This window comes from Homo sapiens, chromosome 20, assembly GCF_000001405.40.
Source record: "Homo sapiens chromosome 20, GRCh38.p14 Primary Assembly".
In the NCBI taxonomy this organism is placed as follows: domain Eukaryota; kingdom Metazoa; phylum Chordata; class Mammalia; order Primates; family Hominidae; genus Homo; species Homo sapiens.
The window spans coordinates 47,293,257-47,309,639 of NC_000020.11; the positions used below are offsets into that span (position 1 = coordinate 47,293,257).

The 16,383-nt window shown below is 44.9% G+C and overlaps 1 protein-coding gene across 20 annotated transcripts in view; it reads right to left on the reverse strand.

The window, feature by feature from the left end:
* The window catches only part of ZMYND8 (zinc finger MYND-type containing 8), a 147,486-nt gene that overhangs the window by 84,043 nt on the left and 47,060 nt on the right, over window positions 1–16,383 (reverse strand). For 11 of the 20 annotated variants that reach the window (NM_001281776.3, NM_012408.6, NM_183047.4 and 8 more), the window contains 2 exons: window positions 5,473–5,691; window positions 1,410–1,523 (listed from right to left, as the gene is read on the reverse strand). In NM_001281776.3, coding sequence (NP_001268705.1) covers window positions 1,410–1,523; window positions 5,473–5,691 — 333 coding nt within the window. Of the gene's footprint in view, window positions 1–1,409; window positions 1,524–4,867; window positions 5,692–16,383 lie in introns of those variants that run through there. The other 9 variants (NM_001281781.3, NM_001281784.3, NM_001281771.3 and 6 more) reach the window with 2 other exon arrangements.

A 16,383-nucleotide genomic window follows, 5' to 3' on the forward strand; every position in this document is an offset into this window, starting at 1 on the left:
AAGGAAAATATTCATCTATAGAAAAAATGTCATAATATGCTTATTATATTGTCAAAATAATACTATCTTCAAAAACAAGTTATTTTTCTGCCATTTTCCTGAAAAGTATTGTGATAAATATACAAACCACAGTGGCCATGGTTTGACCTGGGACTCACAGGTGAGGCACCACTGTGAGGTACACAACTGGCCAACCCTTCCCCCACATGCAGATTTTCCTCAAGGGGCAAAGGCTGTATATCAAATCTCATCTCAAAACTGAAGGAACTAACCAAATTCTCACCCTCTACAGAAAAGTCACTGGTTGAGTTTTCCTTGAAGGTTCCATCATCAGATCTGGGACATAAATAAACTGTGTTGTGCTCAGCTTCCTCATTGAAATGGATTTTCCTAACTCCCATGGGAAGGAGCACAAAGCTCCCCTTGCTGGGTGTTATAGGAGGTTTCACTTTGCAACCAGTCAGAATTTTCAATCCCCCTCAACGTTTTACTATGTCATTGCCCAATTGATATGGTTTGGCTCTGTGTCCCCACCCAACCTCATCTCAAATTTTAATCCCTACATGTCAAGGGAGGAACCTGGTGGGAGGTGACTGGATTATGGGGGTGGTTTCCCCCATCCTGTTCTCGTGATAGTGAGTGAGTTCTCACAAGATCTTGTGGTTTAAAAGTGTTTGGCACTTCCCACCCCCCTTCTCCTGCTGCCATGTAAAACGTGCCTTGCTTCCCCTTCGCCTTCCACCATCATTTTAAGTTTCCTGAGGGCTCCCTAGCCATGCAGAACTGTGAGTCAATTAAACCTCTTTTCTGGCGAGCCACAGTGGCTCATGCCTGTAATCCCACCATATTGGGAGGCCGAGGCTGGAGGATCACTTGAGGTCAGGAGTTTGAGACCAGCCTGGCCAACATGGTGAAACCCCATCTCTACTAAAAATACAAAAAAAAAAATAGCCAGTGCGGTGGCGGGAGCCTGTAATCCCAGCTACTGGGGAGGCAGAGGCACGAGAATCACTTGAACCTGGGAGGCAGAGGTTGCAGTGAGCCAACATCACACCACTGCACTCCAGCCTGGGTGACAGAGCAAGTCTCCATCTCAGAAAAACAAACAAACAAACAAAAAAAAAAACCTCTTTTCTTCATAAATTACTCAGTCTCAGGTAATATCTTTACAATAGTGTGAAAACAGACTAATGTACCAATTAAACTCCTCTGGGACATACAGTGCTTACTACGACAGAGAATTAACTGAATGGCATCATACCTCATGTGTGATTTACACATACTTGAATTTGGGGATGCAAGGAGGCCCAAAGAATACATCAGGTACCTAAAAAGCTAAGCTATTAACAGAACAAAACATATGTCATTACGTTCATTTACGCGTATACCAAGAGGAACTTTCTTCTTACCCCTGGCTGTTTCATTTTCTGAATGGCAAACTTGAGCAGGTAGGATAACTGTTCAATGGTGAGCATTGTCATGGCTTTACTCTGGGTCTCGATGCATTCTGCTACTGTAATTTTCTACAAAGTCAAAGTCATACATAAACGTCCGGTTAGAAAAAAGAAATTACCATCCATGTACTGATTTCTATTTTTTCAGTCAACTGACAGACAAAAAGCAATTCTCATCCCAATGAGACTTGTTGTTTCACTTAGCAAAGACTCCTGGAACAAAATGTACCAGATCAGTGGGTAACTATTAAAAAGCGTATCAATCTATTTCCTTATCAGGAAGCATTTTTAGCTCAGGAAGACGACATGATCTGAGAAAAGATGTGGCTAAACAGGGGCCTGAAAAATCATCATTATTATAACCTTTAGGTTTCAAGAATGGGATATGAAAGCAAAGGCCAGGTGGGCGTGGTGGCTCACGCCTGTAATCCCAGCACTTGGGGAGGCTGAGGTGGGTAGATTGCTTGAGCCCCAGTGTTGGAGACCAGCCTGGCAACATGATGAAACTCCATCTCTACAAAAAAATACAAAAACTAGCCAGGCATGGTGGCACGCATCCGTAGTCCCAGCTACTTGGTAGGCTGAGGTGGGAGGATGGGTTGAGCCTGGGAGGCGGAGGCTGCAGTGAACCATGATTGTGCCACTGCACTCTAGCCTGGGTGACAGAGCGAGACCCTGTCTCAAAAATATGTATGTATAAAAAAAGAAAGTAAAGGCCACGGATGATTTCAGGGTGATTACTTCACAGGATGGGTACTTATCAACCATTTATCCTGATCCTCTTAAGGTTCTGGGCTGTCATTCAGGAAACTGACAAGGCATTAATTCAATGACATCACTGATGGAAAGGGACAGACTTCCCTGCAGAAAGATTACAAGGGAAAGCAGTGGACTAATAATACGTATGACTTCATTGTCCATCTCCCTTACTTTGAACCCACCTAAGGCACTGTGTCAAAGTACACAAGGAGCACAACCTAACCTAACTGTCTATCTCCATGGGTAATAGATATCAGCTCCTAAGGGAAATTCCCATCAAAGAAGAGACCCAAAGGAACGTCTGAAACCAGATTCTGCTATGTAAATCTGGTACTACATCTTAAGGCTTCAGAATCCTTATGTAGCAGCAACAACAAAAATAGCAAATTCTGATCATGTCAGGAAACACTCTTTAACCATCTGTGTAGGGAGAGCTGAGAAAAGTTTTCTCCAATTAATTTGGATTCTGTTTCCATTTTTCACATCTCTGGGGCCTCCAAAAGGAACTCTCAGATGTGTCTCGTTGGTTGTCGAGGAAAAGGCCAACACAAGAGTCACTCAGAAGCTGAAAACAGTGCATGACGCATGCATCTATTTGCTTAGCTACCACAGCCTTGCAACGTTCAGTCTTCCCAGTTGACTGCCGTAACAACTCATCCCTGGAAGAAATTCAGAGCCCCGAATCTTAGACACAGAGCACCTGTTTGTTTGATTCTGGTTTGTTTCCAGGTAACTTATCCATGGCAAACACTTGGGCTGCCTGCCCAACTATCATTCATTCCCTCTCACCCCCCACTCCTTCTTCCTGGCTGGCAGTGCCTGGTTCCCACAACACAAAAAGCACCACATATGCAATTTTCAAGGCTTTTTTGTACAAGGACTGGTGATGCAATACTGACCAATGAGCCCAGGGGCAAATCAGCTGGGGGATGATGGACAAAATCTTTCTGCTTGATAAAAAGAGATGCAAGGAGAGACATCCTCCTTTTGGGAGAATTTTTGTCTATCCACACATAATACCTGAACCCTAGCAGTCAACTTATGGCCATGGAGAACATGTCACCTCAACAATGAGATGGAAAGAGTCTGGCTCTGAATAAACTCTGGCCTGGCCCTGCCTCTAGGTTCTGATGATAATAAATCCACATTGTTTCAGCCCCCTTCTATCAGGAACTAGTGCTTGCATTAACAACTATATTTTGTTGGCCGGGCACAGTGGCTCACACCTATAATCCCAACAATTTGGGAGGTCAAGGTGGGAGGATCGCTTGAGCCTAGGAGTTCAAGACCAGCCTAGGTAACATAGCAAGACCCTGTCTCTACAAAAAACTTAGTAAGTAGCTAGGTGTGGTGGTGTGTACCTGTGGTCCCAGGTACTCAGGAGGCTCAGGTGGGAGGATCGCTTGAGCCCAGGTGGTCAGGGCTGCAGTGAGCAAGATCTCGTTACTGCACTCCAGCCTGGGCAACAGAACAAGACCATGTCTCAAATAAAAATAAAAGAACTATTATTTGCAGCAAAAGCATCCTATCAGAGCTGCTGTCATCTTTGTAATATCATTAAACAATTGGGAAAAGTTGGCCAAGACTAAAGAAAATTGGTGAAGGTTCCAGATCCCATGACAAATGTAGTAGAATGAGGTCAGCCTCTGCGTGCAGAGGAGGGCGCCGCTGTACAATGCAAACCCTACATATTTCTCCATCTAGAGTAACCCAAAGAGAACGGCAGCCGCCTTTTGCCATTTTAGAGAGGACACCATTACAATATCATCGTCATCATATTGATTTCATGTCTACTTTCTTTTTATGTATTTCTTATTTTTCTCCTCTCCCTACACAAAAGTATGACAGACACTGTCCTATAGCTGGCTTTTTTCCCTACTAAAGACATCTGGATGATCTTTCCATTTCACACATAGAAAGCTTCCACATTTGAGATCAAACTCCAATGTACCTTTTTTTTTTCTTTTTTTGAGACATGATCTTGCTTTATTTCCCAGGATAGAATACAGTGGCATGATTACAGCTCACTGCAGCCTCAACCATCTCGGCTCAAGTGATCCTCCAAGCTCACCCTCCCAAGTAGCTGGGACTACAGGCACATACCACCATGCCCAGCTAATTTCTTTAAACTTTCTGTGGAGATGGGGGTCTCCCTATGTTGCCCAGACAGGTCTTGAACTCCTGGGATCAAGCAATTCTCCTGCCTCGGCCTCCCAAAGTGCTGGGATTACAATCATGAGCCACCACGCTCAGCCTCCAATGTATCTTTGAATCCAAGAGACATTCCACATTAAATAATTGTGGAGATGACATTTTTATTTTCAGCAATTCCAAAAAAACATCAGAGTTGGGGGTCTCCAAGAACAGGAGCCACCTCCAAACAGTGGAAACCCTAATAGTTGGCTTAATAAAGGGTGCCTGGGGTTTGCTACACAGGAGGCATACACACTGCCCCGACTACGCCCATGCACTGCTGCCTCCGGCCGTCTGCCTGGAAGTTGTCCCCCAAATGGCTGCATGGCTCACTCCTCTCTTTCATCAAGTCTTTCTCAAATTTTAGTGAGGCTTTCCCAGACCACCACATTCAAAATGAAAACACCTTGCACTCCCTTGGACCTCCTATTCCCATCCTGAATTTGTTTTCTTCACAGCACTTTTCTTTTAATTCATTATATGGAACTTTATTTATTTTGGTTTTTGTCCTTTTCTGCTGGAAAAAAAAAAATGATCCATGCCTGTTTTTGTGCACTGTCGAATTCCCAGCACCTAATAGGCACTCAAGAAATACTTGTTGCACAAAAGAAAGCACCAGACGGCCACTACAGGGAACATGCAACCAAACGTGGTCTTCTCAGCTTGGCTACTGCTGATGATTCAATGATGCGGCAGGCAACAACATCCAAGACGGAGAAAACAGAATGAGATCTTTTCAAAATGTGTGAGCCGTTCATGATTTGGGAGTTAACTTTCAAAAAGTTCATCATAGAAGATGCAGAGATGACGACTACAGATCTCCAAGGAATCCAAGGACTCATGAGAAATCAGAAATAATATTCCGTGCAATTGTCTTTCCAAGAGCTGCAGTACTGCAGCCACTGCCGGTGTTGGTCAAGAAGGGGGTGACCAGGATAGAACAGGTGGAAAGCAAGAAATTTCTCTTTTCCATCTATCTGGATTATTTGTAAATTTAAAAATAAAAGGAAGAAAGAGAAAGGAGAGGAAACGAGGCAGGTAATGCATTCATTCATCAGGAACTAACCTCACATTCAGGACAAAACCAGTCCCCCTCTGGTTCCGATGTCAGTCTCAGACACTTAGCGTGATAAACCCGGGGACAGAGCTCACAGCAAAGGACTTGGCCTTCCCGGTGACAAACCCAGCAGTAGAAATCATTCCGTCCATCCTGCGGTACAACATCAACAGGGTCTGTGGTGAGTGGCTGCTTCATATAGTAAAACGGACCATGTCTTAGTTCTGACTGAAATGTAGGCAAAAAGACAGGTTTGGTTTCAAAACAAATGTGCATTCTCAAAAGGAATTTGAACAAGTACATCAATAACAACAAAAGAAAATAACAGCATTTCACAAATTCATTAAAAAGCCAAACTATCTTAGGTTACTCTACTAAATATATAATTAGCAAGTTGTTAAAATTATGAGGATTTTTCTTTTTTCTATTTTAAGAGGCCACGATTAAAAGCTGGTATCTAAGAGTTACAAGGCAGCCCTAGCAGAATGGCACATTGCCTATAACCCACATCTACCTAGGTTCAGATTTTAACTCTACCATTAACCAGGTGCATGACCTTGGACAAGTCTCTTAACCTCTCAGCTTCAATTTTCTCATCTGTAAAATGGAGATGATAATGCCTAACACTTCATGGTACTGTGTTGCTATTAAATGGGGTGATATAATGTATGCCTGTTTATCAAAATGCCACCATACTAACAATGCTAATGTGGTTGGAAGCCCAACTTATGGAAGTCCCAATTTACAAAGCCAATAAAAGCATAGTAGTTTGCCCTGGGATTCTTCAAATGGCAGACATTTAGAGAATAGATCAATAGGGTTTCAGTCACCAAAAAATGGTTACCTAATTTTTTTTTTCTTTTTCTTTTTCTTTTTTTTCAGAGACGGAGTCTCGCTCTGTTGCCCAGGCTAGAGTGCAGTGGCACAATCTTGGCTCCACTGCAACCTCTGCCTCCCGGGTTCAAGCCATTCTCCTGCCTCAGCCTCCTGAGTAGCTGGGACTACAGGCGTGTGCCACCATGCCCGGCTAATTTTCGTATTTTTAGTAGAGATGGGGTTTCACCATGTTAGCCAGGCTGGTCTCAATCTCCTGACCTCGTGATCTGCCCACCTCGGCCTCCCAAAGTGCTGGGATTACAGGCGTGAGCCACTGCACCCGGCCAGTTATCTAATTTTTAAGTTTACCCCCAATACATAAAGCATTTATGAGCCAACAAGAGGCTTCCTAAAGCCATAATTCTTGAGCATGGTAGGTCCTTGTTTTTGCTAGGGAGACATATCTCTTATTTGACATCAGCAATGGCAGAAAGATGAGATGGGTGGCCAACTCATGGGAGGTCGACCTCTTCCTGGTATATTATGGAATATTATGGTATATTATGGAATCCAGCAAAGCCACACTTGAACACAAAAACTCACTCAGGAGAAACTCATAATGAAAATGTCTATCAGAAACAAATACGAAATCCTATTTAGGAAGTACACATGTAAGTCCTGTGGGAAGATTCAAAAAGACCTGGTAACTAGCTATGTGACCTTAAGAAAGTGACTCAACCCACTTTGAGCCTCAATTCCCTGGCAATAAAACCACAGAGAATAGTTTAGCCACAACCATATTCCCTACCCTCGAATAAATCTCACTGTATAACATGTTTCTTTTCTGTCCTTCAGTAAAACATGATGGTTTCCTCCACAAATATCTTCTACGTTGGTGAGATCCTGCATACTTTTTGATGATACTACGAATGGGGATTTACTAAACGGTTATCATTGATAGACAGAAATGCTGTCAGATTTCTAATACAGACCTCATATATAGACAGTTCCAATAGTTTATTGACTGAAAATCATATTACTCTAAGTAACATCAGTTTTGTCTTTTCCTATCATATACTTTAACACGACTTTTCTTTTTAATGGCTAGGACCTCCAAAATAATGTGCAAGAGTTGCCAAGAAGGCAGGCACCCATATCTTGTTCCCAGCTTTTATTATGAGGTTTTGTTTAGTATTTGAGACAGGGTCTTGCTCTGTCGCCCAGGCTGGAGTACAGTGGCAAGATCTCACCTCACTGCAACCTCCACCTCTGAGGCTCCAGCAATCCTCCAGCCTCAGCCTCCCAAGTAGCTGGGACTACAGGTGAGCGCCACCATGCACAACTAATTTTGTGTGTGTGTGTGTGTGTGTGTGTGTGTGTGTGTGTGTGTGTGTGTGTGTTTTGTTTTGTTTTTTTTGTAGAGACAGGGTTTCACCATGTTACCCAGGCTGGTATTAAGAGGTTTTACTGTTCCCAAATGCCTGGTATTTCCACAATCCTTGATGAAGAGCCTTGTAGATGCTTGCTTAGTAGACCTTTGTAAACCAATGTTTCTAAGCCTCTCTATTCTCATTTCTGCAAAGTAAGTAGCTAATACTTATAAATGTGATTGCATAATTCTTTTTTTTTTTTTTTTGAGATGGTGTTCCGCTCTTGTTGCCCAGGATAGAGTGCAATGGCGTGATCTCGGCTCACTGCAACCTCTGCCTCCCAGGTTCAAGCGATTCTCCTGCCTCAGCCTCCTGAGTAACTGGGATAACAGGCACCCACCACCACGCCCAGGTAATTTTTTGTATTTTTAGTAGAGACAGGATTTCACCATGTTGGCCAGGATGGTCTCGAACTCCTGACCTCAGGTGATCTGTCCGTCTCTGCCTCCCAAAGTGCTGGGATTACAGGTGTTGGCCACTGCTCCCAGCTGCATAATTCTTTAGCCCAGTTATTTCCCTGTGTCAGACCAACTTTTAAGATAGAGCTCTACTTGGTTTCCAGGGAATATCACTGCTACAATATTTTTTTCATGTTACATTTTCAGCATGCCATTGCACACACCATCTTCATTTTATCCTGACAACCACCCAGAAAGGTACTAAGAGCACTCCCTAATGAGAAAATCAGAAATCAAAAATGCTCCAAAATCCTTAAGTTTTTGAGCACTAACATGAAGCCACAAGTGATCTCTTGTGATGAGTCACATATATTATTTAAAATATTGTATAAAATTACCTTCAGGCTATGTGTATAAGGTATGTGATATGGTTTGGCTGTGTCCCCACCCAAATCTCATCTTGAATTGTAATTCCCATAATCCCCATGTGTCATGGGAGGGACCCAGTGGGAGGTAATTGAATCATGGAAGTAGTTACCTCCATGATGTTCTGGTGATAGTAAGTTCTCACAAGATCTGATGGTTTTATAAGGAGCTTTTCCTCCTCTTTGCTCTGCACTTCTCCTCGAAGCAGCCATGTGAAGGACGTGTTTGCTTCCCCTCCCCACCTTGATTGTAAGTTTCCTGAGGCCTCCCCAGCCATGCTGAACTGTGAGTCAATTAAACTGCTTTCCTTTATACATTACCCAGTCTCGGGTATGTCTTCATTAGCAGCATGAGAACAAACAAACTAATACAGTATGTATGAAACATAAATGAATTTTATGTTTAGGCCAGGCGTGGTGGCACGCCTGTAATGTCAGCACTTTGGGAGGCCGAGGTGGGTGGATCACCTGAGATCAGGAGTTCCAGACCAGCCTAGGCAACATGGTGAAACTCCATCTCTACAAAAAATATAAAAATTAGCTGGGCATGGTGGCACATGCCTGCTACTCAGGAGGCTGAGGCAGGAGAATCGCTTCAACTCAGGTTGCAGTGAGCCAAGATTACACCACTGCACTCCAGCCTGAGCGAAAGAGCGAGACATCATCTCAAAAAAATATATATCTATGTGTTTAGGCTTGGGTCCCATCCCCGAGATATCTCACTATGTATATGCAAATATTCCAAATTAAAAAATAAAAAAAAACACTTCTGGTCCCAAGATGAATAAGGAATACTCAACCCATACTAGTCTTACTTGATGTGTAGAAAAACTTGGTTACTTGGTTAAAGATATTTATCTGACCTTGGAGCCCAGAGCAAAGACTCAAACCTGGGTCTCCCAGCACACTCTCTCTTCCCTATAGCCCTCATAAGACAACGTTGAATCCAGGAGAGTGTGTGTTGACTTAGAGACCCCCTCAGAGAACATTATCTGCAATGCAAACTAAGTTCAGATTAGTGCACAAAGCTAGAGGGGAAAAAACATCTGAAAAATAAGATGACTACTAAAAACCTGACAGAAGGGGACAGCATCCAGGGCACAGGCTCTCAATCTTGGTACTGGTGACACTGGGGGCCAGAAAAGTATTTGTTGTGGGAGACGTCCTGTGCATTGCAGGGCAGGTAGAAGCATACCTGGCTAGATTCCAGTAATACTCTAACACCCTCACACACGTAATTAGGACAACCAAAAACGTCTCCAGACTTTGCCCAACGTCCCTTGGAGGTCAAAACTGTCCCTAGCTGAGAACCACTAATGTAGAGGGTCTGCTCTCTGCCTAGGAAAATGGTTGCTTCGAATTTATTGTAGGGGTATGGGGGTGCTAAAGAGGAGATGGGTGAGGAGCAGCAGGAAGGGGAAGAGAGGGCGGGGAACTCCTGTTGAAAGATAAGCTATACATACCAAGCAAGCAGAACTATTTCCCTTCTTTTTCTTTTTTTTCAGAACTATTTCTACCCCGAGTGAGGTCTTCTAGGATGCTACTGTGGTTTTTGAAAGATAACAGTCAGCCGTATTTTCAGTATCTGACTTCTTTTCAGTAAGTTAATAATACAATAGGAAGAGTTGTTAAGAAGCTAGAAGAATCAGCTGGGCACAGTGGCTCACGCCTGTAATCCCAGCACTTTGGGAGGCCAAGGCAGGTGGATCACCTCAGGTCAGGAGTTCAAGACCAGCCTGGCCAACATGGCGAAACCCCGTCTCTACTAAAACTATAGGTGGGCGCCTGTCCAGCTACTCAGGAGGTTGAGGCAGGAAGAAGTGCTTGAACCCGGGAGGTGGAGGTTGCGGTGAGCCAAGATCACACCACTGCACTCCAGCCTGTGTAACAGAGCAAGACTCTGTCTCAAAAAAAAAAAAGAAGCTGGAAGAATCAAATATGACTGTACATCTCCCTAACCAGCAACTCAAATCCTCTCTGTCTGATAGTAGCCGAGGTACTGATCCTCCAAAATTAAGTTTCTCCTGGTGCTCCCCTCCCAACCCCACCACCTCCTGGCTGGGGCTGGCTGCCCCTAGGAGGATCCCGAGGACTGCCTGGCTGCTCTGTACTCTTTTCAGAAGATTTTCTCCTTTCCTGAAACAGCAGCAGTTGCTGAGAGCTAGATGCCTGGTTAATCTCCTTATCAATCAGATATTTTCCTTATCTGCTGCTTGTAAGTGTTTCCTGTTCCATAAAAATAATCTGATAACAAATATGGAACATTTTAAAAAGGGAAAGCAAATCATTTCTGAGATATGATTTTTCTCCCCTACATGTATAATGTGTGTTACCAGTTTGATAACTAGGGAAACAGGTTGCAACCTGTGTTATCATGGAATATTTGCAGGTTATTAAGGGATACTGCAGAAGAGAAAATGTTCTTATTTCCCTGCTTCCATAGGCTGGCTAACAAGAAAGTAGAAAAGGCCCTGTCTATTTGCTTCTGGAATACCTTCAATGATACCAGGAACCGGCAAACTTTTCCTATAAAGGCTTCTATAAGGATAGTAAATACTTGAGGCTTTGCAGGCCATAAGGCCTCTATCGCAAATACTCAATTTGGCCACTGTAGGGCAAAAGCACACACAGACAGTACATAAATGAATGACTGTAGCTGTGTGCCAATAAAACTCTATAAACACAGGCTTCAGGCAGCATCTAGCCCACAGGCTGTAGTTGCAGACACCTGGTCTACATAAACCAGAGTATGGGTGCTCTGGCTGTGTGTAAACACAAGGTCCATGTGTGGACGATGAGGACCATAGACTCCAGTTCCTACAGAGGCCACACAGGGACCATACCTGAGTGAAAAAAACCATAGCTTCAGCTATCATTCTCCTACATCTGGTAAAAGCATGAATACTGTGAAGTATGTAAGAAAGAACCACCTAGCCCTGGAGTGTGAGGATGCACTGGCATTCAACCTCGCAGTGGGGGAGACAGCAGGGCTGGGCAGAGCTCAGACCCATCTTACAGAGGCAGCCCCCACTCAGCTCCAGTGATCCAAGGAGTTGGGCAGACACAAACTCCTAGTGTTGCCTGACCTTGGGGAGAAACTGGCAATCCCTGCACTCCCCTGAACTATCTCAACTGTTAATACACTGTCTCAGCCCAACAAAAGACTTCTGTGGGCCTAGTGCAGTGGTTCACACCTCTAATCCCACCAATTTGGGAGAATGAGGTGGGAGAACAGCTTGAGCCCAGGAGTCCGCGACCAGCCTGGGCAGCAAGACCCTATCTCTACAAAAAGTTAAAAAAAAAAAATTAGCCAGGCATGTTGGGGAACAGCTGTAGACCCAGCTACTTGGGAGGCTGAGGTGGGAGGATCACTTGAGCCCAGGAGGTCAAGGCTGTAGTAAGCCACAATGACACCACTGTACTCCAGCCTGGACAACAGAGCAAAGCCCTGCCTCTTTTTTTTTTTTCTTTTTTCTGAGACAGAGTCTCGCTCTGTCACCCAGGCTGGAGTGCAGTGGTGCGATATTGGTTCACTACAACCTCCGAGGTTGAAGCGATTCTCATGTCTCAGCCTCCCGAGCAGCTGGGATTACAGGTGCGCACCACCATGCCTGGCTAATTTTTCTATTTTTAGTAGAGATGAGGTTTCACCATGTTGCCCAGGTTGGTCTCGAACTCCTGGCCTCAGGTGATCTGCCCACCTTAGCCTCCCAAAGTGCTAGGATTACAGGCATGAGCCACCAGGCCTGGGCCTGCAAAGCCTTGTTTCTTTCAAAAAAAAAAAAAAGCAAGCAAAAAAAGACTTCAAGTGTCCCAGTTTTTAGGGCAACATGTGGGCCCAAGAAAATAAGTACTAGCCACTCATTCATGATATGCAGACACCCTGTCCTCAGAGAAGGTGAAGAGGGGCCCCATCATTTCTTTGCTATATTTGATCAAAGATGCACCTAAGGCCATTCTGTACAAATCTGCTGGCACGTTATTTCTCAATCCTTTAATGCAAGGGAAAAAAACCAAAACACCTCCCAACAGGATGTTTGAACTCAAATGTGTCAGAACTAAAGAGCAGAGTGGTATTTATCTGTAAAGACCCTGACGTCATTTGGGGCAAGGCATTTCTTGCCCCATATACTACAGGACATCCATTTAGCAACCTGACCCTCCTCCACAAAACGCCGAGAGCATCTTCCCAGGCATTCTCAAACCTTCCTAAGGGGTGAAAACACTGGACCAAAGGTCTTTTAAAAATGCATGGTAAACCTTAGGATGCTTTTAAACCCTGAAAATAAAATGTGTTTTAAAGCTCTTTAAACTTTTGGCTCGGCGCAGTGGTTCATGCCTGTAATCCCAACACTTTGGGAGGTTGAAGCAGGAGAATCACTTCAGCCCAGGAGTTCGAGACCAACCAGGGCAAGAAAGAAAGTGAGACCCCCATCTCTATAACAAAATAAAAAAAACTAGCCGGGTGTGCTGACATGTGCCGATAGTCCCAGCTACTTGGGAGGCTGAGGGAAGAGAATTGCTTGAGCCGGGGAGGTCGAGCCTGCAGAGCCGGGGAGGTTGAGGTTGCAGTAAGCTGTGATCATGTCACTGCACTCCAGCCTGGGCAGCAGAGTGAGACCCTGTCTCAAAAAATAAAAATACAAATAAAAATAAACTTCCCTAAAATGAATTCCTAATATATGATAAATGGGTGGAATAGGGACCAAACTTAAAACTCATCCCATATTTTCACATGGTAATAAAACATCTCTACCAAAAATGGAAATATATGGATTATTTGCCTTTTTTTTTTTTTTTGAGACAGAGTCTCACTCTGTCGCTCAGGCTGCAGTGTGGTGACACGATCTCAGCTCACTGCAACCGCTGCCTCCCGGGTTCAAGAGAGTCTCTTGCCTCAACCTCCCAAGTAGCTGGGATTACAGTCCTGAGCCCAGCCTATTTGCTCTTTATGAGGTGAGAATAGCTTTCTTTCTGGAACAATGGAACAAAGAAGAGAAACTAAAGTGAAGAAAAAGAAGACGACAGTGGAGAATCTTCACATATGCCAAAGTCAAAAGAACATGGACATGGAAAGAAATTCAGAGGTGGATGAAATGAGCAGAGCAGGCTGAGTATGAGACAACAGGGAATGGTGGGCAGTGTGGCAAACAAGCAAGCACAGGCCTGTGTCTAAAGGGGCAGGCTTGACTCAGCTCCAGCTGGTTGCTAGATTTTGCTGAGTGCTATGGTCTGAATGCTTGTGTACCTCCCAAATTTCTATGTTGATGTTCTAACCCCAAGGTGATGGCATTAGAGAAGTGGGGCCCTGAGAGGTGATCAGGGCCCTGCCCTCATGAATGGGATTAGTGCCCTTATAAAAAAAGGGACCCCGGAACTTGGCCAGGCACGGTGGCTCATGCCTGTAATACCAGCACTTTGGGAGGCCGAGGTGGGTGGATTACCTGAGGTGAGGAGTTTGAGACCAGCCTGGCCAACATGGCGAAACTCCGTCTCTACCAAAACTACAAAAAAAAAAAATTAGCCGGGTGTGGTGGTGCATGCCTGTAATCCCAGCTACTCAGGAGGCTGAAGCAGGAGAATCGCTTGAACCCAGGAGGCAGAGGTTGCAGTGAGCTGAGACTACACCACTGCACTCCAGCCTGGGCAATGAGAGAGAAACTCCGTCTCAAAAAATAAATAAATAAATAAATAAAGGGACACCGGAAAGCCCAGGTACTCAGGAGGCTGAGGCAGAAGGATAACTTGAGTGTCCAGCTTGAGCAATATAGCAAGACCCCATCTCTTAAAAAGAGGGTAGGCTGGGCACAGTGGCTCACGCCAGAGGTCAGGAGTTCAAGACCAGCCTGGCCAGCATGGTGAAACCCCATCTGTACTAAAAATACAAAACTTAGCAGGGCGTGGTGGCAGGCGCCTGTAATTCCAGCTACGTGGAGGCTGAGACACAAGAATCTCTTGAACCTGGGAGGCAAAGGTTGCAGAGAGCCAAGATTGCGCCATTGCACTCCAACCTCAGCAACAAGAGTGAAACTCCATCTCAAATAAATAAGGCCAGGCGCGGTGGCTCACGCCTGTAATCCCATCACTTTGGGAGGCTGAGACAGGTGGATCACAAGGTCAGGAGTTCGAGACCAGCCTGGCCAAAATGGAGAAATCCCATCTCTACTAAAAATAAAAAAATTAACTGGGCACAGCGGCGGGCGCCTGTAATCCCAGCTACTCGGGAGGCTGAGGCAGAAGAATCCCTTGAACCTGAGAGGTGGAGGTTGCAATGAGCCGAGATCACACCAATGCACCCCAGCCTGGGTGACAGAGTCAGACTCTGTCTCAAAAAAAAAAAAAAAATTGAAAAACTCAGTTCCTCAGTCACTTGCCATTTTCAAGTACTGAAGAACCACATGTGACCTGTGGCTACCATCTTGGACGTGAGGTTTTTTTTTTTTTTTTGGAGACAGAGTCTTGCTCTGTCGCCCAGGCTGGAGTGCAATTATATGATCTCAGCTCACTGCAACCTCCGCCTCCCAGGTTCAAGCAATTCTCGTGCCTCAGCCTCCCGAGTAGCTGGGATTACAGGCATGTGCCACCACGCCCGGCTAATTTTTTGTATTTTTAGTAGGGCCAGGGTTTTTGCCACATTGGCCAGGCTGGTCTCGAACTCCTGACCTCAGGCGATCCGTTTGCCTCGGCCTCCCAAAACGCTGGGATTACAGGCATGAGCCACCGCGCCTGGCCAGACATGAGCATTTTTACAGGAATTGTTTATTTCATATAAAGATTGTATGATTATTCTACTTAGCAGAGAAACTGACTTTATGTTTCATTTTTAATATCACTATTTATGGCATTTAGCTCAATGTTCACAACCCTGTGAAATTTGTGGTAGTATCATTATCCCCATTTCAGTAGATGAGAAAACTAGGCACAAAAGAGGTTAACTTGCCCACAGCCACGGAGCAAAAGCAGGGCTGGCATTTCACTATGTAATTTTGAGAGTGAAAATAGATTCATGCTCAGAAACACACACCTCTCACAGGCCTGGGTATTTAACCGTTGCTAGGTCTCCTTCCATGAAAGCAACAATCTCGTTTAATTCAACTTTCCATCCCCAGGGCCCACTCCTCTACTCAATAATGCACAAAGTGGATGAATGCATCCCTAGGAATCACTGCTGAAGAACAAGTGGCATCAGAACCAACGGGACACTGTTTCCTTCAGTGCTATGAGATCCGACCTCATAGTCCAGGGGGATAGATACAATCCACCAGTAAGTCCACTAAAGTGCCTCTCCATTTTTGTAATCTGAAGAGTATCTAGCCTGCCCCAGAGAATTCTAAAGCTAGAATGTCCCTTAGAAAAGATCCAAACGGTGAACGGATTTTTCCTATCTAGCTGACTGGTGCTAGCTGCCAAGGGAGGGTGGGCTCTGGAAAGAATCCTCTGTGCTTCCACGAAAAGGAACTGTGACCAATTACCTAAGCCTGCCCCTGGCAATGCCTCTTACCAAAGAACCTAAACCCTTCATTTTTTTTTTTTTCTGAGATAGAGTCTCGCTCTGTCACCAGGCTGGAGTGCAGTGGCGCGATCTCGGCTCACTGCAACCTCCGCCTCCCGGGTTCAAGCGATTCTCCTGCCTCGGCCTCCCGAGTAGCTGGGACTACAGGCGCATGCCACCATGCTCAGCTAACTTTTTTTGTATTTTTAGTAAAGGCGGGGTTTCACCAGGTTGGCCAGGATGGTCTCAATCTCTTGACCTCGTGATCGACCTGCCTCGGCCTCCCAAAGTGCTGGGGTTACAGGCATGAGTCACCAGGCCCAGCCTCTAAACCCTTCATTTTACAGATGAGAAAACTG